Source organism: Homo sapiens, chromosome 1, assembly GCF_000001405.40.
Source record: "Homo sapiens chromosome 1, GRCh38.p14 Primary Assembly".
Lineage (NCBI taxonomy): Eukaryota > Metazoa > Chordata > Mammalia > Primates > Hominidae > Homo > Homo sapiens.
This window is the reverse complement of record NC_000001.11, coordinates 107423993-107447763: the sequence shown is the minus strand read 5'-3', so window position 1 is coordinate 107447763 and position 23771 is coordinate 107423993. Positions and strand designations below refer to the sequence as shown.

The 23771-nt window shown below is 37.1% G+C and overlaps 1 protein-coding gene across 16 annotated transcripts in view, besides 1 other annotated feature; it reads right to left on the bottom strand.

The window, feature by feature from the left end:
* NTNG1 (netrin G1) overlaps positions 1-23771 on the bottom strand; it is a 344836-nt gene that overhangs the window by 37160 nt on the left and 283905 nt on the right. For 4 of the 16 annotated variants that reach the window (NM_001372167.1, NM_001113226.3, NM_001372170.1 and 1 more), the window contains exons 6-7: positions 16847-17014; positions 10965-11099 (exon numbers count right to left, since the gene is read on the bottom strand). The exons of 8 other annotated variants lie outside the window; for them this stretch is intronic. In NM_001372167.1, coding sequence (NP_001359096.1) covers positions 10965-11099; positions 16847-17014 — 303 coding nt within the window. The remainder of the gene's footprint in view (positions 1-10964; positions 11100-16846; positions 17015-23771) is intronic. 4 more of the 16 variants (NM_001312688.2, XM_047449447.1, NM_001372166.1 and 1 more) reach the window with 1 other exon arrangement.
* Positions 15055-15911: an enhancer, noted in NCBI's record as "OCT4-NANOG hESC enhancer chr1:107974475-107975331 (GRCh37/hg19 assembly coordinates)". NCBI's record gives its function as "activates a minimal SCP1, AML or CMV promoter by ChIP-STARR-seq in naive and primed H9 embryonic stem cells {active_cell/tissue: H9 hESC(naive and primed)}" and the evidence as "EXISTENCE:reporter gene assay evidence [ECO:0000049][PMID:30033119]".

Genomic DNA, 23771 nt, shown 5'->3' with positions numbered 1-23771 from the left:
CGAAGGCATAGTTTTCTGTAGAGTAGAGTATGATCTCATCTCATTTGCTGTATTTGAAAGGACGTATTGAACATAGTTGATTGAACCATGTTTTATTAGATGTTTCTATCAAGTGAAGCACAAACTCCTCCATGCCTAGACCCTGGACAGTCTTTATTAAAATTGTTACTTCAGAAATTTCGAGGCCTGATTTAACTATATGGAATTCATACATCATGTCTGTATGTAGTTTAGCATCCTTGTTGCAAAATCAGCAACTTTAATTTTTCATTTAATTAGAAAGAACAAGGGTGTAATATTTCAGGAAAGACTTACTAGTACGCCCAAATAACTTCCATCTGGTGAACCAGCAACACCATAGAGAATGCAGTGATGGTGGCCTCTGACATTGCATCACTAATAAATTGTCAAGTTATCCTGATAACAAGCTCTTCTGTAAACTCCCTAACTTTGTCTTTTTGCATTCAACATCTGTGGGAACATAGTAGTTGTCCATATTATTGATTTTCATGATAAAGAATATGGGTTAACACATAGGCTAAGTCCATTGGGTCAACAATACTAATTAAAAAGAGGCCTAAATGTATGTCTTAAAAATAAAATCAATATTTCATCATTTTTATAGTGTTTTATCTCTGAGACATATGCCCATTTCCCCAAAAGAGTTGTAGTTTAGAAAAAAATATCTGTAATATGTAATGTTAATCCTATGCTTTTGCAGAATAAGGGAAAGAATATTGTTAAAAATATATCTTAGCAATTGTTTCTGTTTAAAAATGAGCATCCAGCAGTGTCTGGATGATCTTGACTGCTAACCAGTCAAAGATTAAGGCGGAGGCAGAGCAGATGAACTGTGCGTAAGTCTAAATTTCCATGAGCATACAGTATGTGCCTATATTGGAATTTACATCAAGACAATCAATCACTCTGTATTTATGGTATTTATGAAGGCCTTTTCTCCCCTCCTTGTAGCAATGGATAACTGAAGGCTGTAAACAGAAAACTTTGTAAAGATGGGATGAAAAACATATATGCATTTTAACAGTGATGGGTTATAACATTATTCCTGTGGGTAATCCAGAATCTCTTGGGTTCAATGGGCTCAATCACACTGAAAAGAGAGCTGGGCAGAAATGCAGGGGTTCACATTCACAGCACTGTCATGGACTGTGTTCAGAAGAATTGTCTCTGATATTAAAAGGCAATGGTAAAAACCTACATTCTGAACACGTTCTGTATGTATTTTTTCCCTGTGAACATGGTATTATAACCTGATATTATTACTGTAATTGTCTCTAAATAGAGCTTTTTGCTGATATTCAAGATGACGGGTTGTTCCTGCAGAATACAACTGAATGATCCCTTACACCAACATGAGCAATCCTGATCATTTTATGGCCACCCTGACTTCTCTTTCATTAGTTGCTGATTGTACTAAATTGATGCTAAATTGGCTCAGCTGGCTCTTAAAGCCTTTAAACAGACGGCACTGATTATGTCTGTGATCTTGTCCTGGAAATGATATGGTCAAAGCCCTTATGTTTCTGGGAACCCTAACATTTTTCTTAAGAACAGTTGGGGCCTTGTAAATAAGAACCAGTTAGTTCAACTCCCTGTGATACCCATGTCAAGACAGAGGACACATTTTAATGAAATGTATGTTTTTCTTATGTTCTTTCCTGCCTTCTGCTTCACATTCTTTATTTAACTGGTCCTCTGTTTCTTCATCTTGAATTGCTGTTTGAGTTTGGAATAAATCAAACTATGATCTGCAAGCCAAATCCAGCCTGCTTCCTGTTTACAATGGCCTATGAACTAAGAATGGTTTTTACCTTTTTTAAATGATTGAAACAAAATCAAAAGAAGAATATTTCTTGGCACATGAAAATTACATGAAATTCAAATTTCAGCATCCATAAAAAAAGTTTTACCGGAACACAGCTACACTCTTTCATTTAAGCGTTGTCTATGGCAGTACAATAGCAGGGTTGAGTAGCTGTGACAGAGACTGTATGGCCTACAGAGCCTAAAATTGTTGCCATCTGGCCCATTACAGAAAGAATTTGCTGACCCCTGGAATAAATTATCAAAGCTTCTGTCTCCATCTGCAAAGTAAAAGTGACAAAATCCTATAAAATGCCATTTGATTAACAATAAATATTCACTAATAACTGGTGTGCTACTTAACAGGTATTTGAGTTGGTGGAATTATCCTCTTTAAATCTCAGTTTTGTCATCTATAAAATAAGGAAAATAATCTTCTCCTGTGGAATGAGATAATGCATACATGTTCCCGACACATACAAAGGGCTCAGTAAGTAACACTTTTTATTATTTTAAAATAATAATAATTCTTTACTAGAAATAAGTCCATATGTAAACTGATGGGACCATTTGTAAGATTTCAGGATCACAGAATTTCAGACCAAGAAGGAACCTTGGAATATCCAAGCCCTCTCTAGGATTTCACAGAAGGAAATTCAAAGGCTGATGATTGAGCAAACATTCTTTGGAGAGGTGGTGGAGTTACACCTAGAACAAGACCCCGACTCCAAATCTAAGGCTTCCTTTCACCTCACTGTGTTGACTCCTACAATTTAGTTTTCAAGAACCCTCTCATCATAGTCTATCTGTGACTCCTCTTCCCCAGAATTCTGTTCCGCTGGGGGCTGAGAACTTGCCCTTGCTTAACTGAAATATTTATTCTGCAAGTTTCAAGTAGGATGGCCCTTTTGCAATTGGGCTGATTTTCACATTTAGACATTATCTTTATATATGTAGCTTTAGAAAATTTTGAAATTTTTTCTTACATACACACTCACACATACACTCATTAGTGTGTAAAGAATGGCCCAAGGTGAAACTCCACTTATGTACTTACGTAAGAAAAGAGCTTCACATATTGTATTACCACTTGGCCTTCTTATCATCTTATTATCAGGTAGGATCAGGCTGTTGCTTTGATTCTCGGCTGCTAGCAGATAAAACTGTGCCTGCATTTTTCCATGAGCACCAGCATTTCATACACCTTTCACTGTTAAGCTTCAGTGGTTCTGCGGTGTGAAATTGTGGAGTTTGAGCATACATGTCCTTCTCAATATTCTCTTTAAATAAAGGGGGAAATTAACATGGATTGTCAAGTAAATATGAAAAGTTGCCATCCAGGTCAAAGTGGAGGCCCCTCTCTGAGCTGAGCACAGGATGGCTAAATAGTAGGCAAGCCTCAGAATGCCAGTGGGTGCCTGGAATTGCCGTCTGGTATGTCCACTGTCTGCATTTGCCCTAGGCTAAGCTTCAGCAATTCAGGAGCTGTGGGTTTTGAATGTATTTAGGATATGATGCTACTGTGGAGTACATTCAGAACAACTCACTGCTTTCAAGCCAGCTCCATCAGTGTATCCCTTTTGTGGTTGCTCTGAATGGAGCCCTTAGTGTGTGAAGAGTTAAAGTCCTTTCCACAGCATAAGCCCTGACTCTGCATGCTCAGAGGTAGCATCAGGTCCCTGATGTTTTAGAGGTCTATGGGCTTTTTACATTAAGAATCAAGGGAAAATAAGAGCTGCATCTGGAATGCAATGGCTATTAGCAAGACTGAGTGGTGTGGCATCTTCCTGCTGAATCAAGAGATACTTCACAACTGGGGGCAACCCTGGGGTTTGCTCATCTAGCAGACAAAACGATCCTTTTTGCCCCCAGGAGTACTACCAGCTTATTTGTAATGCCTACAAATTGCCACTTTCTATTTCCTGTCTTCCTAATATTTTCCTTTTTAAATTGCCTCTGGGAGGCTCCTACTGGTTCTGTTTAAAGAGCACTTCCTTCCCACCCTTAGGAGTCGTACCACAGTAACATCAAGTGCCTCTCTCTATTTATTTTTCATCACCCTTATGTATGTAGCAAGGGAAATGATGCTGTGTTCAAGGTGCTATTGGAAACTAATGATACTAAGGAAATTAAAAACTTGGATTCAGTGATGCCATTCATTTTATTGATGAGACCAACTTGTAGTGATAGAGATTGATAGACATGTGAGGGCCAAATGAGGGAAATCATATGTTTAGCAACTACAGATGCTCTGCAGCATCACAGACACATCCTTGTTTAAGTGACATGCTGCCTGTCAATGAATTCAAAGTGTGAGGTCAACTGGTGAAATGTGAACTGGACATTTTAATGTAACACGACAAATAGGAAGAGACAGCAACTAGAAACATTGAAAAATTACAAGTTAGGCGCAAGATATTTGTCCAGGGAGGTATAATCTTCATCTCACAGAGGCAATTGGAAGCATCATCTTAATACCTTCATGATCACAATTCGTCAGGACTGTAGTAGTTAATCCCCTATCCCCTCCAAAAAGAAAAAAAGAAAACCTCCTGAACTATAGTAATAGAAGAGTTTGATAGGAACCAATTAATCCCTAGAATAAAAGGAGTTATTTAAGTCTCTAGTTTCTGACTTTTGGAAACCAGAAGTGAGGACTGAGAACACGGTTAGTGGGAAGTATGAGAGTCTGAGGTCTGTGGGTAAAGAAAGATTAGAGTGTAGAGGACAGCCAAGTGATCAAACTGTGGTTCTTACTATAAACTGAGGTGGGCAACTTCACGATGCCTCCCCTCTGCTGCATGAGTGTGGTCTGACGTTAAAGCTGGGAAGTTGAAGAGGCCCTAAAGAGTTTTCACTCAATTTCTCGTTTAAGCCAAAACTCTCCAGAAAGCGTCACTGATAGGAGCCTGTTCAGCTTCTATTGGAACTTCTCCAGAGTCTGGGGAAGTTGTCATTACTCAATGCACCTACTATATTCTCAGACACCTAGAAAGCGTAACTGTTGGAAAATGCTAAATTGAAACCCATCTCCATTATTCATGGTCCCTGTTCTATCTTCCTGAACCATGTCTACTTGTTAGCCCTCCAAACACTGGCTGACATCTGTAACATATGTTATCAAGCTGCTTCATATGAAAAAACTTTCATCAAAGAAGGGACTCTCTTACATCACTGTCTGCAATGCTAGAATGCTCTTTCCAAGAACTGGCCCCTTGATGTGGGCTGCTCAGGACATGTTTTAGTGGGACTATAACCTCCTTTGATCTTTGTTCAGCCTGAAATTGTTAGTTCCTTTGCCACTTATATAATATACTGTCTAAAATTGAGCTTTAATGTAAGCTAATATCTTTACATTTTTGTCATTTGAACTATGTCAGCACAGCCTTATACCATCTGCATTTTTGCAAATTATTTAGCCTAAATTTGCAACACAGTGTAGGGACTGAAATAATGTTCATCAAAACCTCAGAAGAAAGAGCGTTTGATAGTCAAGTTGGTTAATGTAGAGGTCTCTCTTTTTTTTATAGGTAGTCTATTGGGAACAATTTATGCTTTTATTTTTAATAAAAGTGATTGTATGTGTATGTGCATATGTGAACACCCATTTTTAAAAAGGTCTAACATCCTACCTTTTTCCCCCAGGAATATTTTGAATTTTTCTTAATGTTTGGAACAATACCTCTTAGATTTTTAATAGTGTTTGCTCCCTTATGTGACAATGCCTTCTCCATGGTACCAATAAGTGGTAGCTCCTCAGACTGCTTCTTCCACTCTTTTGGGTAAAGAAATTCTCATTAATGCAAGTAAACTATTTTACCAGAACAAATCTTTTAGCAGAACTCCTGATATTTGAATTCCCCCATTTTGGAAGATAGAATGTTTAAATTTTCCAATTTTCCTCTGAACAATGTATCCTCTAAATGGTCTAGTGGTCTACAATATGCTCTCACAATACCTTTCTTATACAGTCTGTGGTCTTGATTGAAACATATTTCACTATCTCTACCCTGTAATGCACAATGCACATCTATACCTGCTTGACATACATTACTCCTCTCGAATCCTTTTAAATATTTCTTTTGAATATGTTTTATCATTGCATATCTTTTTCCCCAGCATGAGTTGCATTCTGTCTTCATAACACCTGCATATTTATCTCTGACATGAAACTTTGACATTCTTTATTATTATTATGATAAGCACAATATAATGTGTTCTCAAAGATGTCTACATCCTGATCCCCAGAGCCTCTTACCTCACTTGGCAAAAGAGACTTTATAGATGTGATTAAATTAAAGATCTTGAAAAGGAGAGATTATCCTAGATTACATGTGTGGGCCCAATCTATTCACATGGTTCCTTAAAAATGGAAAGCCTTTCCCACTTGCGCTCAGAAAAGGATGTGATCTGTCTCCCCCTTGCTATGTGTACTTTGCTTTTTATTTCCTACAGCTCTAGCATCTTCCAAAATCATAACATTTAACTGATATCACCAAATCTTTTGACTTTCACTTAAATAAGCAGACTATGAATTCTTCTGAAAGTACCATTAGTATTCACACAAGTTAACAATTGGTGGATTTAATAAACCCTGCAGCATATTCCCATGTGTCTTACATACATCCTCCAGGAAGACAAACATATCTCCTCACCAGTCACATTAGTTCTACAAGTGGCTATTTCTACCTCCCAAACTGAAAAGTCATAAATCTCCTTTACGTCCAGTTACTTTGGCGCTGATAACAACTATTTAGTTACTTCCCAATACATGTTAACCCTTCATATTTTATATAAAGCATGGAATGCTGCTTCCTATGTAGAAGGCTCAATTTTATTCTCTGGAACCTAGCTGTTGACTCTTCTCTGGTTTCAAAAGGATCATTTAAAACTTTTTTTCTCTTTCTTTCCAATGTCTCATTTTTCTATTGGGTAACCTCAACACTAATTTTGATTCTGCCAGGCCTGCTTGAAATCTTATTATTTCTGTTTTCTTTCCTAGGTTATTTGTTCTATGCTGTCTAAAGACCATTCATTCTAGTGGTTTAGAAGTGTTTCACCTTTTAATTCAGAAAGACTTGCCTACATTTACACAGTACATAATTGGTGGCCTCTCAAGCAGAAAGTTTGCTGATGAGCCTGGAGTTTTTAAAATGTCCCCAGCTCAAACCCCATAATTGCTTTGGGGTCAGCTTTGCTTCACTTTCTTGAATCCGTCTTGTCTCTAACCAGGAGGCTTTTTAGAAGCCCCCAGGTCAACAGTTTGATTCCTCAATAGTGGCCCAACAAGTTCTACAGTAACATTGCACGAAAGCTTTTGAACATGGATTCTTGCTTAGTTCTATGGCATATCAACATGTGCTTGGAAGTAGTAATAATAATTGAGCACTTACTATGTACTACGAGGTCCACATTCATTATTTTATTTGAACCTTCACAATTACTATATATGGTAGGTCATATTATTACCCCATTTTAGATGAAACACCAGGCTTAGACGGGCCAAGTAATTTCCTCTTAGTCTTGCAGGTCATAAGAAGTGGAGAAGGGATTCAGACCCTGGTCTCTACGAATCCAGAGTCTACTCAAAGAGCATATTCACTGTTTCTATTCACAGAATATAGGCAACACTGTCAGTTACTGAATCCCTTTTTTAAATCTTCTGTTCCCAAACCCAAGTCCTTTTGGACCACAATTCCACATGGCTCCTTTTGACAATCCTCTGGGAGGACTGGAACCTTGGGCCTGGATCCCTTGGACTCTTCCTGATATCTCCTACTGCCTCCCTGGCAGTGCCTACCTAAATGCCTGCTTACTCTCAGCTCATCACTGCAACACCACTGTCAGCCCTACTCTCCCACTGGTTTTCTGCTTGGCATTGATTTTGTGTTGCCAGGTTAATAGCTCTTCTACTAATACTGTGGCCAAATCCAAGGATGGGTTCCACTCAGGGCAAGTGGAAGTCAGGGTGAGCAGTGGAAGAGGGGAAAGGAAGACAAGGATGCACTCAAGGGGCATTTTTGAGTGCATTCATGTGTGTGAGGACAGGAGCAAAATGAAAAAAAAAAATTATCAACCTTCCAGCACCAACTAATCAGAATGCACATCAACTATAATCCTGGAGCAGGTGCTAGTGGCATGCTACTGTGACACGTGTTACCCCGTTATTGCTGATCCTTGGTGACAGCCCAAGAGATCCCAGGGGAAGGCACTTCAGGATCTTGGTGAAGTAGCCATTTACTAACTGACAGAAGAATTTCTATATTTTAACATAGAATACCAGCCCTATGTGGGTGGGTCTAAGAGAAGGAACAAAGATTTCAGAGTGAGAAAAATCTCCTATGTTCCCAAAGGTGTGTTTGGACGATGTTAAATTTATATATCAAATCTAATTTCAACCCATTCCATTCTTTTCTTTACTTAGTAGCTAGAATAATCTTTTTAAAAACAAATCTGTTCCTTTCATGTCTCTGCTTAAAACCATATGATGGATCACATATCTTCTCCAGATGATGATTCCGATTTTCCTCCCTGACAACATAAAATGTCTTAGCTTGGGATTCATGAAACCACATAATCTAGTCCCTGGATGCTGTTTAACATCTTCCCTTACTCCCAACACATGTGCATGCTCACACACACACACACACACACACACACACGCAAGTTCTGGAACACAGTGTGTTAGCTCAATCACGTTTACCCAAGATTCCTATCCTGGAAAGCTCCACTGATCCTTTAGTGCTTAACTACATGTCACTTTTCTGGGAAGACTTACTCCCCATGTTGGGCTTCACTAACAAATAACATGTACATTCCTCTTATTGAGCTCTGATTACCTTCTATCGTAATTGTTGGGCCTCTCATTCGGATGTGAACTCCATGTCCACATGTCCACAGTAGCTCTCTCTTTTCATCCTTCTGTGCCCTACCATTAGCCCAGTGCCTAAGTCACGGTAGGTACTCAATACATACTCAAAAGAATAAATGCATGTCCTCTCATCATCTCAGTGATCCACCTAACAAGTATGTGAGGTTCTGGAACTGAGGCACAGAGGGTTTTATGATTTGTATGTGGCAGGGTAAGGCTTAAATTCAGTCTTTTGATTCCAGAAGGGAAAAGTTGGTGGCAACACCATATTTTTTATAATACTCCAATAATGAATATAGAAAAATTGGGTTAGGTCCTTTTTGAGATGCATTTTCCCAAAGCAGGATTGACTTATTTTCCTCTCCCAAGTCTTACCCTGAGTACACTCCAGCAACCCATTCTTTAGGTCCTGCTTCCTCAGGAGCTTTATATGAGATCTTCTCTTTGAGAAGTGTGTCTTAATTACAAAGTCTCCTTATTCTTTATGCCTTGAGTCTTGGTGCTGGTTTTGATTTTTCCTCTGCCTATTCTCCTCTTCTCCTGACTGTTGGCCTGCTCTAGGCCTTGAGGTCTAGCTGTGCCATGATTGATAGCTTCACTCTGAGCCCTGACACTTCACATGGTTGCTGGGATCCACCAACTCTCCCAGGCACTAAGGACTAGCACTTTCTGGAAAACAACAGCATGCAAGACTTTTAAACCATGGCTTTATCTAGACCTTATATACAGGTGTGAGGCCTGACTTCTGACTATTTGACTGTCTTTCAGTGTTCCTCTCCAGCAAGGCTGGAGACCTCAGTTCCCAGTTCTTGGATTCCATTCTAACCTTGGCCTGCTCAATGCCAAAATTTCAACCTATTGCCAGAGCTCATTGCTGCCCATGGCATTTCACTTTGGAGTTATATTACTTAGAAGTGTGGCTGCCAGATAACTATGTATTCCATAAGTAACAGATAGAACATTCTATAATATTGTATAGAAATTGGATCTACACAGTTATTATTATAGAATTCATCATGAAGAATTTATTTTATAGAATATAAAAGTTGCTATTACTACTATATTATACAAATAATATACAGTTTTCTATAGAAATTGGCTTTAGATGTTTCCTGCATGCTGACATTTGTTTCAAGTGAAAAGCAAGCAAAAATAACTCTAGGGCTGTGCTGTCCAATATGGTAGACACATGTGGCTATTAAGCCTTACAATATGGGCAGCCCTAACTGACATTTTCTGCAAGTATAAAATGCACATCTGACTTCAAAGACAATAAAAAAACACGAAAAATATAGCCTTAATAATTTTGATATTAGTTATATGTTGAAATAATAGTATCTTATATAATTTGAGCTAAATATAATAGTTATTAAAATTAATTTATCTTATTTCTTTTTACTTTTTTAATGTGGAAAGCAAAAGCATCTAAAATTACATATGTGGCTTGCTTGATTTTCTATTGGACCACACTGCTACACAGGATATGTCTTGTGGTGCTTTAATACTAGCAAAATACCTGTCTATAGATGAAATGGAAAGTTAGTTCGGAATTCAAAAGCAGAAAAGGTTATAAAAGACGGAAGGAACCTTCTGCCTTGATTTTATAATTCATGTTCCTTGTACACACTGACATGCCACGTGCCTTGACAAGCTTTGAAGACCTGGTAATCTCAAGAGAAATGAGGCTGAACCAAATGGCATTTGTCCACAGCTCCTCGCATAGTGCCTAACCTCAGAGGCTTAAAATCAATATCGATTTTTGCCATTTATTTTACCCCACGTTTAAATATTCCTTAGATTTATTACCTTTAGGTTTTTGGTTAAGATTCAGTGATGGGTATGATAGCAAGGGTAGTAATAAGTTATGTAGATATCATTTAATTTATGAACTCTGGAGCTCTAGGGTAACTTTCAGTTCAAGAAATATATTAATCACATGCACATCACCCTTCATTCTGCGGTGAAGATTTCCACGCTGGGTCCCTATTGTGTCACTTAATTTATGGTCTGGACGGGTATATGGATCTCCATACAATATTTCAATATAAGTTGCTCCAGCTAACTGAGGGGATGAAGATGGGCTTCAAAAAAGCCAGTTGGACAGCTGATGGATTGCTCTCCCAATACATTGGCCGCAGCATTAAGTAGCTTTTAAAACTTGTCAGCGGTTTGGATCTTTTTCTGCTCTGAGAAGCTGCACGCACCGGCCTAGCCAAGCAGAAATCAGCCATGCTGCAGCAGGCAGAGGGCAGCTCCCAGAGTTACTTACGTTGACAGCCGTAGTGCCAGGAATTTCCCGGCAGACACTCATCACACTTAGGCCCTGTTGTTCCAGTCTTACACTCACAAAATCCTGAGCCATTACAACGATCATGGATTGAGCCCAAAGGGTTACAATAACACTCTGTAGAAACAAGACAACACACAGGCTGGAGACAAGTCTGCATGGCTTACAGGTTATCAACACAGGAGCGTCACGTACTTAAATGCATCACTTACTTAAAGAAAGATGTCCATTAATGAAATGCTTCGGCAAATATGGCTATTTCACAACCATTTATTTATTCGCTTAGCCTTCCATGATATCATTTTTATGATATGGGAGGAAATCAACTGAAAACTTCCAAGGAAATAAGACATGCTTTTCACTGGTAACAGATCGTAATGGAGATTCCATTTGTTAGGATATTTTTAGATGGTTTAATAAACACCATGAGAAGTTTGTATATCAAGGATAAATCAATATGCCATCAGTGTAAAATGTGTTTTAAATTATTCAAATGGGCTTAGCCATTGCACTCAATATTTGAGAACTGCTGAACATTTTAAAAGTACAATATGAATGCACTTTGCTCATTCAAAGGTAGTTTTACTTTATGATTTGGGACAGCATCTTAACTTATTCATGCATATACCATTTTGTGATAAGCCTTTAGATGTTGTATTTGCTAGGCATATTAATGCAGCTTTTATGCAGCCCAGCTTAACAATCATGAAAGAAAAATAAACTTTGTAACCCCAAATAATTTTCAACATAGTTATAATTTAAGATGTATATTTTTCATTATAATGTCTGCTGGCAGGACAATACAGCTTTGCACAATAAAAGGTGAATACAGTGTTTTCTTGATTCCTCACACATTCTTATATAGGATATTTTTACTTCTGAAGCTCTATTTTGCTTAAAGCTTGAACCAGAAATGGATATCCTTTAGGCTTCTATTAGCTGGAAAGATAGTGCAGGTAGCTGGCAGCTTTTGGGTACTGTGAGCTAAAGTTTCTTTCCTCATTACTCTTCTAATACTTTTGAGGAAGTTATTGTGCCTCTCAGTTTCCATTATTTAAAAATGGGTACATTAAGCAGTTCCCTCATGAAAAACCAAATAAAACTATACCATCCAACTAACCAAGAGAAGTCTTGAAAATTTAGTTTAATATAATCAAGTTTGGCATATTAGATTTGCTATGGGGATTCAGGGTTTAGCCTTATAGATGGGTCTAGGGGTTTGATTCTAAGTTTATGTCACAGACACTAATTATTCTTCAAATAAATGTGGAGTACCTTAGAATTATGATTTATTTTATGCTAATTAAGTCAGGTTTCGAGTTCAGCATTCTTATAAAACAAACATTTATATGATGAATAGTTATATATGTAGGTAAAAATAAAACTTAATAAACTCTAAAATGCTCTCTCCTTGCCTGGCTTAGTTTGTACTTAACAACTAGAGTTTTATTTTAAATTAACATTTTCTATTTTAATATGCATGTGTATATGGAAGCAGATTAAAAATATTTTAAAATACTAATTTTGTGAAAGCTTTTAATGTTTGTCTGTACATAGGCACATTATAAATTTGTACCTATATCGAAACTGTAATTTTTTTTTTTACTGTTTAAAGTGTGTAAGTTGACAATAAATCACCAATGTTTTGTAAGCCAGTAAGCAGAGTTACATCTGGCCAACGTGAATTCACATACTCCTCCAGTCAATTAGCCCATGACCATTAATTAATATAAGATTTTAGAGGCAAAAAATGTAAACAAAATTAAACAAAACAGTAAAACATTTAAACCATAATATATCCCAGTCATTGTCATAGGAAAATGTGGGTAAGTGTAATGTTTTGCAGTCATGAAAATAAAGGACAAGAAGGGGTGTGGCCTTCCCTTCACCTTATGTAACAAATAATTCAGTTTTTTAAAAGTGTCATTTATGGAATGATGGTCAATGGTGGATATTGGAGTAATGCAAAGAGTCTTGGAGGATCATATTTTATTCCATGAAATTAGGAAGAACATGCAGGACTGTTAGATTACAAAGCAACGTAAAATACCTGGCAGGGGGTGCTTCATTTAAAAGTTATACTAGAATTGATTTACAGGTATTAAAAGTGTCTTATGTTCCCCTTATTCTATTTAAGGTACCTCTGATTACCCAACCATGGGTTTCAAAGGGGAATTAAAAATTATACATCATAATTTTAAGAAATGCTTAGCAGCAGCTGCTGAGCTCTGTTTCATTGTGATGCAAAGCTTGTCAGCTGGATTATTAACAGTGATTACTCAGGGTCACAAACCATATATCCTCTAGCTTCCTGCTTAATGCTCAAGTTTACATGAAACAGAAGCATGCAAGGATGTCATCTTCATGTAATTGCTATGTCATTACAGGGTAATTACATGTATCTTTGGAGACATGGCTGTGTTTGGAATTTGTAGAAAAAATGGGCAAATTCACCAGTAATTACAAAGCAGCAATCACTGTGGCAACATGGAATAGCCTGCTGCATTTTATATTTGCCATAATATAAAATGATGCAAGTATTTTACAACATCTATTTCATCACACAGAGCCTACATTTTGTCAAAGATATGAGTTGTTCCTTTACAGCAAGGGTGGTGAATTTTATTGTCAGTTGTTAAAGAATTGGCAAAGTGTTCTTTTTTTATTTTTAATGTAGATGAGACTTAGATGAAGTTCAAAGTTTCCAAGATTAGTGCCTTATTCTGTGAAAGTGAATGGGGTAAATATCCCTTCATTTTCATTAGTGCTTTCTATACAAAATGGTATTAAGATTAACTCTCAATTACTTGTGATGTATCCTTTCGAATTTAACAGTCCTGCCGCAAGCCCTTTAGGAATCTTAATTGTGGAAAATAGCAAATAGGTTCATGCTGTCTCATAGGGCAAACCTTAGCAAAGGAGCCAGAGGCTTCCAACGGCCCTGAGAGGGCAAACTCCAGCCTAGTGCACAGGCAGCCCCAGTACCACTGTCCTCAGCGCCTCAAGCAGGGTAAGTGAAATCTACAGCTTTTTAAGGAAATTGTTATTAATTCATTGTGTGCATATAAGCACTACAGATAAAAGATAGACCTTAGTACCTATCAGCTAGCTAAATTTTTCTATTCATTCTTGAAACACAATTTTCTTCTTTAGAAAAGGGCAATAATTTAAGAAATTATGGTGGGTGAGGGAACAATCTAGCTAATATTACTTTTTATTTTATTTTATTTTTTGAGATGGAGTCTCGCTCTGTAGCCCAGGCTGGAGTGCAGTGGCGCTATTCTCTCAGCTCACTGCAACCTCTACCTCTCGAGTTCAACTGATTCTCCTGCCTCAGCCTTCTGAGTAGCTGGGATTACAGGCACAGGCCACCACGCTCAGCTAATTTTTTATCTCTTTCAGTAGAGATGTGGTTTCACCATGTTGGCCAGGCTGGTCTCAAACTCCTGACCTTAAGTGATCCACCTGCCCGGGCCTTCTAAAGTGCTGGGATTACAGGCATTAGCCATTGCACCTGGCCTAATGTAGCTAACTTTAATAGTACCTAGGAATGCACTCCTTTGTGTTCACCAAGTACTTCGCTTGGTTTCAAGTACAAAATACTAAATAGAAACAGGTTTACCTCGATAAAATGGAATTTTCCAAAAGTTTATAATTTTAATTAATAAACTTTCTAGAAATGGAGAGGAAAACTCTTCTTGATTTTTAAAAGTAAAAATAAATACAAAATTGATATCTTTTTCATATTTCTTCTGTAGTTTATCTGATTTAAAAGACAGACACTGAATGGATTGTTTTCTAGTCTGTGGATAATCAAATATGGATTTACAACTGAACTATACCTCTTAAAACTGGATAGAAAGAAGCAGATGTGGAGTTCACAGTTTACTTCAGAACTGGAAAAAAGGCCAAACTTCATAATAATAAAATACTCTGAATAAAATATATTGTGATATTGTTAAGTTACCTGATAAGAGAAATTTTATGGAATAAAATATTTCCTTTTAAGGACTTTTTTAGATTGATTTAAAATCATATTAAATATTATAAAACATTTTAATCTTATGTAAAAATGGTTAGGTTTTTTATCCTGTGTTCCTATTTATTTTAGTTTTTCTGGTGTTTACCTATCTATAGCATGACATTTATATATTTTTATAAATGACATTCAGTAAAATGTACTCTGCCTTCAAAATTCAGACAACTACATGTCTTTTGGTTTTCATTAATATCCTCAAATCTTTGTAACCCAAGTGTTATGAAGACAATTGAACTTCTGTTCATAAACTCAGAGTGGAATTGCTGCTGTCATCCAAAACACATACCATAAGTAAAAGTCTGACAAGCTTAGCTTTGCTAATTGTGTCAGTGGTTGAAAGTGTTTAAGCTTTGAAGTCAGAAACCCTTTGCTGTAAGATTTGGGTCAATCTGCCTTACTTTTCTCAATGACAAGACAGGGGAAACAATTAGTGTAATACTTACCCCACTGTTTTGTTAATGAGGATTAAGTAAAAACAAAACAAGACATCTGCAAGCCAGTTCACAGTTGACCAAGGGTTTCCTGTGCATCCCATTTATCCTTTTCTGACTAGAAGGCTCAAATGACTTACCTATGGCACACAGCCATGAGCTAGCAAACGGAAATTTGAGCCTAGCTTTCTGGCCTCTAAGTCCAGTACTTTCTCTCCTAATTGACAAATAATAAATAAGGAGATGCTCTGAAATACAGAAAGTACTGTAGACACCAACAGTATTATATATACTTGGCCCAATTTGATTAAAAACAACTCAACAGCTTTTTTTTGTGACACTTGGATCTTGACGATCCAATCAGAGGACAATGATCACAGAAATACGAATTGGATTTCTTTTCTTGATAAAAAGATTGCTTGTCATTATTCAGCTTGTGTATCCTATTGAACGTACCTCAATGTGAAAAAGTCTACCTTTAAAACTGGGTGCCTATATAGCTACCTACTGGTGTGGTAATGGCTACACATATATTTTTCAGCATTTCAAATATATGCATTGCTTCAGAGTGAATTATGAAGTGAAATTCCATTTATTGTTTCTTATTTTTCCATTGGCACCCCCATATTCTTAAAGACAGGTTTCACTATGTAAAAGGTAGGAGATTTTCTGGGTGGGAAAGGTGCCTGGTCCTCCCTAGGTGCCAAGAGCAGTAGTCATTGGTGGGGAGGGAAGGGAAAGTGCTCAGGGGCCTCTGTGGACGCAGTTTTCCAGGGCTAAGATAATTAGTTGCCTAGAATACTTTTGAGAAATTACTCCTCCTTTTTGGGAGCTGTAGGAAAATTCAATAAATGGAATTTCATTGCTATGGATGAAGAAGTCAGACAAACTTTTACATTTCCAGTTGCTAGTCATTTTCAATCTCAAATAGCAACATTTTCAATCTATCAATACTCGTTGATCACCAATTATATGCAAGAATCTGTACCCTAATTTTTCATATCTATAATTAAATCGCATATAATGAGTTTCTATTTTGAAAGTTGAATGTATAGCCTTAAGTTTAAGGCTATAAGATCAGTTCAGAATCATCAGGTTTTACAATTTCATACAAAAGCAAAAAACGGGAAGAAAGAAAATTCTTAATTTCTTTAACATGATTTCTGAGATCATCATATTTAAAGCAACAACATAAGGGTTCAAAGTATATCCCCCAACTATGATTTCAACCAATACAAGTGAAATCACAAGTGAAATCTACCATAGGATATTTTCTACATTGAGAAAGTTCATTCTGGCTCAACCGCGGTGCAAATCGCCAGCCTCTCCACCCTAAATATCTCCCCGTAGCTCAAAAGGCACAGAAGAATAGCTGAAATTGTAATGGAACTGACCTATGCACACATTCTCATCGTCCAGTTGTGCAGAAGCATTTCTGAAGTAGCCCAGCCTGCATAACTCACAGTGCTGCCCTCTAGTGTTGTGTTTACAGCTCACGCAAATGACTGTATTTAGCAGATCGATATAACTGCATCGATTGGAGTGGCCGAAGCATTCACAATCTTGCAAGGAAGAACAGAAATGTATACAGAGTGTATACAGTAGCAGAGTAATAGCATACTACATGCTTGGGTAAAATGAGGGATGGAGAAAAGACGGTGGAATGGCATTACATATATGTGATTCAACACAACACATGGTGGCAACAGGTGGTTGTGACTGGCACGGAAATAGCATCTGTTTCAAGCAGGATAGAAAGGTCGGACATTCGGAACAAGACTGAAGATTGTTAATTCTTGGCAGACAAAATGAACAGAAGCATTTGCAGGTGTACACCTTTTAAAATTTGGGAAGCCTCAGTTTCTAGTGATGAAAAAGTCTATTATTTTTATTTTTTGCAGATGGAGAATTTTAGTGTCTTTGCACCATTTCCCTTGTTTTCATCTTTTCAGCCTTAAAAAAAGTGAGAGGGGACTGTGTGAGCATTGAGAGTCTAAGTACCATCACCATGGCTCCTTTAGCTCTCTGACATCATGCCAAGACAGCAACTCAGTCGGGGTTTCATATACATCATGGCAAATTTAATAGAGTTCTAGACAACTAAACAATTCTTTATTTTTGTTTTTCCCCAATGCTAAGAGAAGATGGCTTTCTTAAGCCTTTCTTCAGACCAAATCTGTATGTATATGTGTGAGAGAAGACAAAAAAAGCAGGGAGATAATTTGTGCGAAAAGGTGCTTTTAAGATTCCCTCCTTTTCTCTTAAGTTTCAAGAATAGTTTGCTACAAAAGAAGAATTAGGTAGCTACTGTAACCCCACCTTTCTTTTCCTTGGTTTCTCTGAAATGTTAGAGGTGTCTCTGAGGCTTAGGAGTGATGGTGGTAATGACTAGACAGGGAGATGAAGAAGAGCATGAGAGTAGTTGGGGAAGGGTGGAGGGTGACTAGATTTCTTCTTTCTTGCATCTCAACTAGAGAAAGAAGTTGTAAATCCAATTCAACCTTTTAAAAATAAATGATAATGACAAAGTCTCTGTTGGTAGAAATAATTATCACAAAAGTGTGAGTGGTAACTAGGTGGGGTATCTGTTTTGTCTTCATGGAATATGAGGGTAGGCCTAGTTGGACATTTATAAGGAAGGTCAGCCAGGATACTGCAAATTTTGTTTGTTTAAAAATATTTCTTGCATCAATATCTGTCTTGCTTTTATTTTATCCCACTAGAAAGCCAAGCACAGTCATTATTTGAACACATTCATTCATTCTTTCATTCATTCATTCAATAAATATTTTTATTGAGTTGGTCTACCTATGTGTCAGGAACTTGGCTAGGTGTTGAGTTACTATTTTGGCCTATATAAAATTTTTCAAATATTATATTTTGATGAGTAGAGTAAAAATGAGTAAGTGTTGTCAAGTAAATAATAATAAGAGGTGGCTAACTTTTAAACTTTTAAAAAAATTAATATGCTACCACTCATCAGAAAAGTTCATATTCATTTGTTAGAGAGCTAGTTACTACAATAGGAAGCTGATAACAAGGTCCTGATGGAATGAAATCAAATTTGGATAGAAGCAGAGGAGGATACTCAAATGGTGAAGAGTAGAAGATAACCAGAAACAGTGTCAGCAACTTCGGGACCCCAGTTGCTAAAAGAGAGGCAAGAAGAAAGGGGGGATGCTGAAGCCAAACCACTTCGTTTATTTGAGGTGAGCTGTATCACCATGTGTACGTGAACAGGGAGAGAAGGGTGAGTGTGAGGACAGGAAGAAGTCAGAGGGGAGGCGAGTATGGAGGAGAGGGAGAGTACTGGGAGAAGGTGGCATTGAGACTCCAATGTAGGAGACAGTGTAAGGAAATATCCATATAAATTTAGTAGTAAAGGCATGCCAAGTGAATAATAATACTACCACCAATAATCATAGAGTTACAGATTACTAAATTAAAATCTCTTGTAAAACAACAAGCATTTCCCACCAATCCTCTGTACCGCTCAGAGTTACGCCTTGTTTATACTGGCATTACTGACTTCTGAGGGAGTCAGAAAAGCTTCTAGAGCCTTCTATGTTTGAGAGTTTGAAATAAAGACAATCTTTCAGGACTAGAGCCTTTTGAGAGCAGTGGTTGAAGGAAGGAAACCCAATTCTCAAACCTAATTGCTTCCCAAGGACTTTTTGAGAACTGCCTGGAATTCCTGAGGAGGGCCAATAACAGCCCTGCCCCTGGGTCGCCTCCTCTGGAAGAGGTCTCTTATTGGCTGTTCTTCTTCATGTTCCCTAACCCGGGTTGGTTCTTGGTACATCTAATTTAATTAATAGAGCTTTGTTCAAAAGCATCTTTTATGTGCAAAAATTCATCTAGGAGCTTTCTACAGCTACATATAAGCTTGTGGCCTGGAAGCTTATTTAGTAAATAAGAAAACATATGCTCAGATAACCAGAAAAAAATAGTATGTGCAGAGAAAAAACAGTGACATAAAGCAATCTAAGTAGAAGGAGAACTTCATTTAACAGGAGGAGAATTAGAAAAAATGTCCTACAGGATGTGCACTCTGAATCTTCCTCAGGGCAGGTAGAGTTTATTAAAACAAAACAAAATAGGAGGGAATGAGCATTTTAGGTGAAAGTAATAGAGTAAAGAGTGGGCAAAGGTATGAAGTTAGGGAAATGTAGAGAATAAGGCTGGTGACTTTTCATACTATGGTTCCTTTGTGGGTACCTAAAGGATTCTGTAGAGTCTGCCCAATGGCCAGAACTACATGCTTTAATCTACCTGATAAAACTTTATCTGAGTAAGAAAACCAAATCTGTAAGATACCCAAGTTCAACAGTTTAAGACCCATTCCATGAATCTCTATAAAAATGTTAAATGTGATATTATCACTACTATTATTAGAATTTAATGAATAGTACACATTTCTGTGGGGACATTAACAATTTATGGGTCTTGTTTAAAAACTAATTTATTAATTTAGAAAGGAAATGATAAATAATTGTATAAGAAATCATGTTCAGCTAAACATGCAATAGTATAAATTTATTTCAAATGATAACTGGATACTTTAAATGTTTTATCAGCATTAAAATGTTTTATGATGTAGAAAATGGGTAATAATAACTTGATTCTTTTAAGACTTCTAGTACTCTTCTGAGACTTTGATAAAGCTGTCATCTCTGGCCATAATATATTTGAGAATATAAAATAAGAAACAGATCTTTGAAAGTGATTTGAAAAACATGAGAGTACTATATAAATGCAAAGTATTTCAAATATGACTCTTAAACTGCTATATTATTTTCTGGTGTTCTGTTAATTTCCTACTTTTTAATACCTGGTCTTTCCACACAGGCACAGAACCTATTAAGGTACAGCTTGAGTTGCATTATCCTACTAAGTTTCTGAAGGGATGATATTAATAGTTTAATAATTATTTGATTCTTCAAATCACTGACCTCCCATGACCTCCCATTTCTTCTTATATAGTATCCATAGTCCAATCCTTATAATCACTTCCTTTTATATACTCCCTTGGCCTTCCACCCTCCAATTATAAGGAAATCTTGATCCCAGTTAAAAGTTGATGCTGGTTAAATTCAACTCTCCAGGAGGTCCTAGCCAGAGCTATCAGGCAAGAGAAAGAAATAAAAGGCATTCAAATTGGAAAAGAGGAAATCAAATTATCTCTGTTTGCTGACAACATGATCATATACCTAGAAAAGCCAAAAGATCCTGTAGGAGAATCCTAGACTGATTGCCGACTTAAGCAAAGTCTCAGGATACAAAATCAATGTACAAAAATCAGTAGCATTTCTATACACCAATAATATTCAAGCTGCAAACCAAATTAAGAACTCAATCCCATTTACATGCCCCCCAAAATAAAATAAAATACCTAGGAATACAGCTAACAGAAGAGATGAAACATCTCTACAAGGAGAATTATAAAACACTGATAGGAGAAATTGTAGACAACACAAATTAATGAAAAAATTTCCCATGTTCATGGGTTGAAAGAATTAATATTGTTAAAATCACCCATTACTCAAAGCAATCTAAAATTCAGTGCAATTCCTATCAAATTTCCAATGTCATTTTTCACAGAATCAGAAAAACCAATCCTGAAGTTCATATGGAACCCCACCCCCCAAAAAAAGCCCAAATAGCCAAAGCCAAAGCATTTCTAAGCAAAAGGAACCAATCCAGAGGCATCACATTTCCTGACTTCAAATTATACTACAAGGCTATAGTAACTGAAACAGCATGGTACTGGTACAAAAATAGACACATAGATCAATGGAAGAGAATAGAGAATCCAACAATAAAGCCACATACCCTACAACCTCTGACCTTCCATAAAGTGGACAAAACTAAGCAATGGGGAAAAGCACCCTATTCAATAAACAGTGCTGAGAAAACTGGCTCGCAATATGCAGAAAAATGAAACTGAACCTCTATCTCACCCTATACAAATATTAACTCAAGATGGATTAAGGACCTACATATAAGACCTGAAACCATAGAAATCCTGGAAGAAAACCTGGGAGAAACTCTTTTGCACATCAGCCTAGGCAAAGAATTTATAATGAAGACCGAAAAAACAAATACAACAAAAACAAAAATAATAAAATGGGACTTAAACTAAAAAGCTTCTGCATAGCAAAATAAATAATCAACAGAATAAACAGACAACCTACAGAATGGGAGAAGTATTTAGAAATTATGCCTCTAAAGACCAATGTTTAAAATCTACAAGGAACTCAGATAACTCAACAAGAATAAAACAAACAACCCCATTAAAAACTGGGACAGGCATGAACAGACATTTCTCAAAAGAAGACATACAAGTAGCCAACAAACACATGAAAAAATTCTCAGTATCACTAATCAACAGAGAAATGTAAATTAAAATCACACTAACGTGCCATCTTACACCAGTCAAAATGACTGTAATTAAAAAGTCAAAAAGCAAGAGATGCTGGCATGGATGTAGAGAAAAAGGAATACTCATATACTGTTGGTGGGAATGTAAATAAGATCAAGCTCCATGGGAAACAGTATGGAGATATCTCAAAGAACTAAAAATAGAACTGTCATTTGACCCAGCAATTCTACTACTGGGTATCTACCCAAAGGAACATAAATCATTATATAAAAAAGACAACTACAGTAATATGTTTATTGCAGCACTATGTATGATAGCAAAGTCATGAAACCATCCTAAGTGTCCACCAATGGTTGATTAAATAAAGAAAATGTGCATATACATGATGAAATACTATGCAGACATAAGAAAGAATTAAATCATGTCATTTGCAGCAACATGGATGGAGCTGCAGGCCATTATCCTAAGTGAACTAACAGAGAAGCAGAGAATCAAATATTGCATGTTCTTATGTATAAGTGGGGGTTAAATAAAGGGTACATACGGACATAAAGATGGAAAAAATAGACTGTGAGCACTCTAAAATGGGGGATGTTTGAGGGTTGAAAAATTACCTACTGGTAATTACTAAATCCAATATTTAGGTGATAAGTATACTAGAAGCCCAATCCCCGGCCATTATGCATGTAATATCCATGAAACACACAAGCACATGTACCCCCTGAATCTAATTTTTTTTTTTAATTCAACTTTTCATCTCTTCATGCTCATATCCCAGTAGCTAAATGTGGCTAGTTTTTCTCCAGCCATTTAGAAACAAGTCTCATTTGAAGTTCATGACCATAAACCTCAATGGGGTCCCCAGATCTGCCTGGTAATCCTTCCTGAAGCAGGGGCTTCTGGGCCACCACAGTCTCTTGATTCTTCTTCTTCCTTACCCATCATTGCTTTTTTCTCTCTTTTGCTTTTTGTCCTCATCTCTTCAAATGTCTCAAGGTTTAATCCTTGGACCTCTTTGTTCTCTACATTCACTCTAGATGATTTTTACCCAACCCCATGGTCTATATGCAGGCCATTCCAAAATAGTTATTTCCAGGGTGGACTGACTCCCCAATTAATTAGTGAGACTCCCTTCAGAGTCATCCATTGTGTGCCACTGCCTTCCAAGAATTTCCACTTGGACGTTTTATAAACATTTCAACTTTAACTTGTTCAAAACTGAGCTCTTGGGTTGCCTTCCTAAACTTGCTACTCACCCAGGCTTCTCCATCTCACTACATGACTATTCCATTCCTCCAACTGCTTAGCCTACACCTCTCACCATCTCTACCACCTTTTCCTCAGACGCATCATCAGCCCTTACTTGGATTACTGCCATCATCCCCAAACTGTTCTTCTGGCCTCAACCCTTGTGATAATGTCATCTCCACACAGCAGACAGAGTGACTCTTTCAAAACTTTAGTGAGGTCATGACATGCCTCTGCTCATCATTCTAATGGCTTCACATCTTATTCAGAATAAAAGAGGAGTTCATTCATTCTCTAGTGACCTGGCCCCTGTCCTCCCTGGGGGCTCATTGCTAGCACTCACCTCCTAATTCATGGCACAGTGCCTCCATGTTGCTCTTCAAACACACCAAGCACTTCCCAGGGCCTTTGCACTTGCTGGTCTGGAATACCCCCAGACATCTCCATTATTTGCTTCCCCATTTCTTTTTAAAATATCTTCTCAAAGAAAATTCTCTGACCATTTAATCTGAGATAATAGCCCCACCCACATTCCCTAATCCCTCAATTTCCTAATCTTGTTTATATTTTTTCATAGAATTTATAATATTCAAAAAGTATATGCAAAAATAATTTCTCCCTCTCTGAGTGTAAATATTCAAGGGCAGACTGTGTCTGTTTTGTGCACAATTATAACTACAGAACTTAAG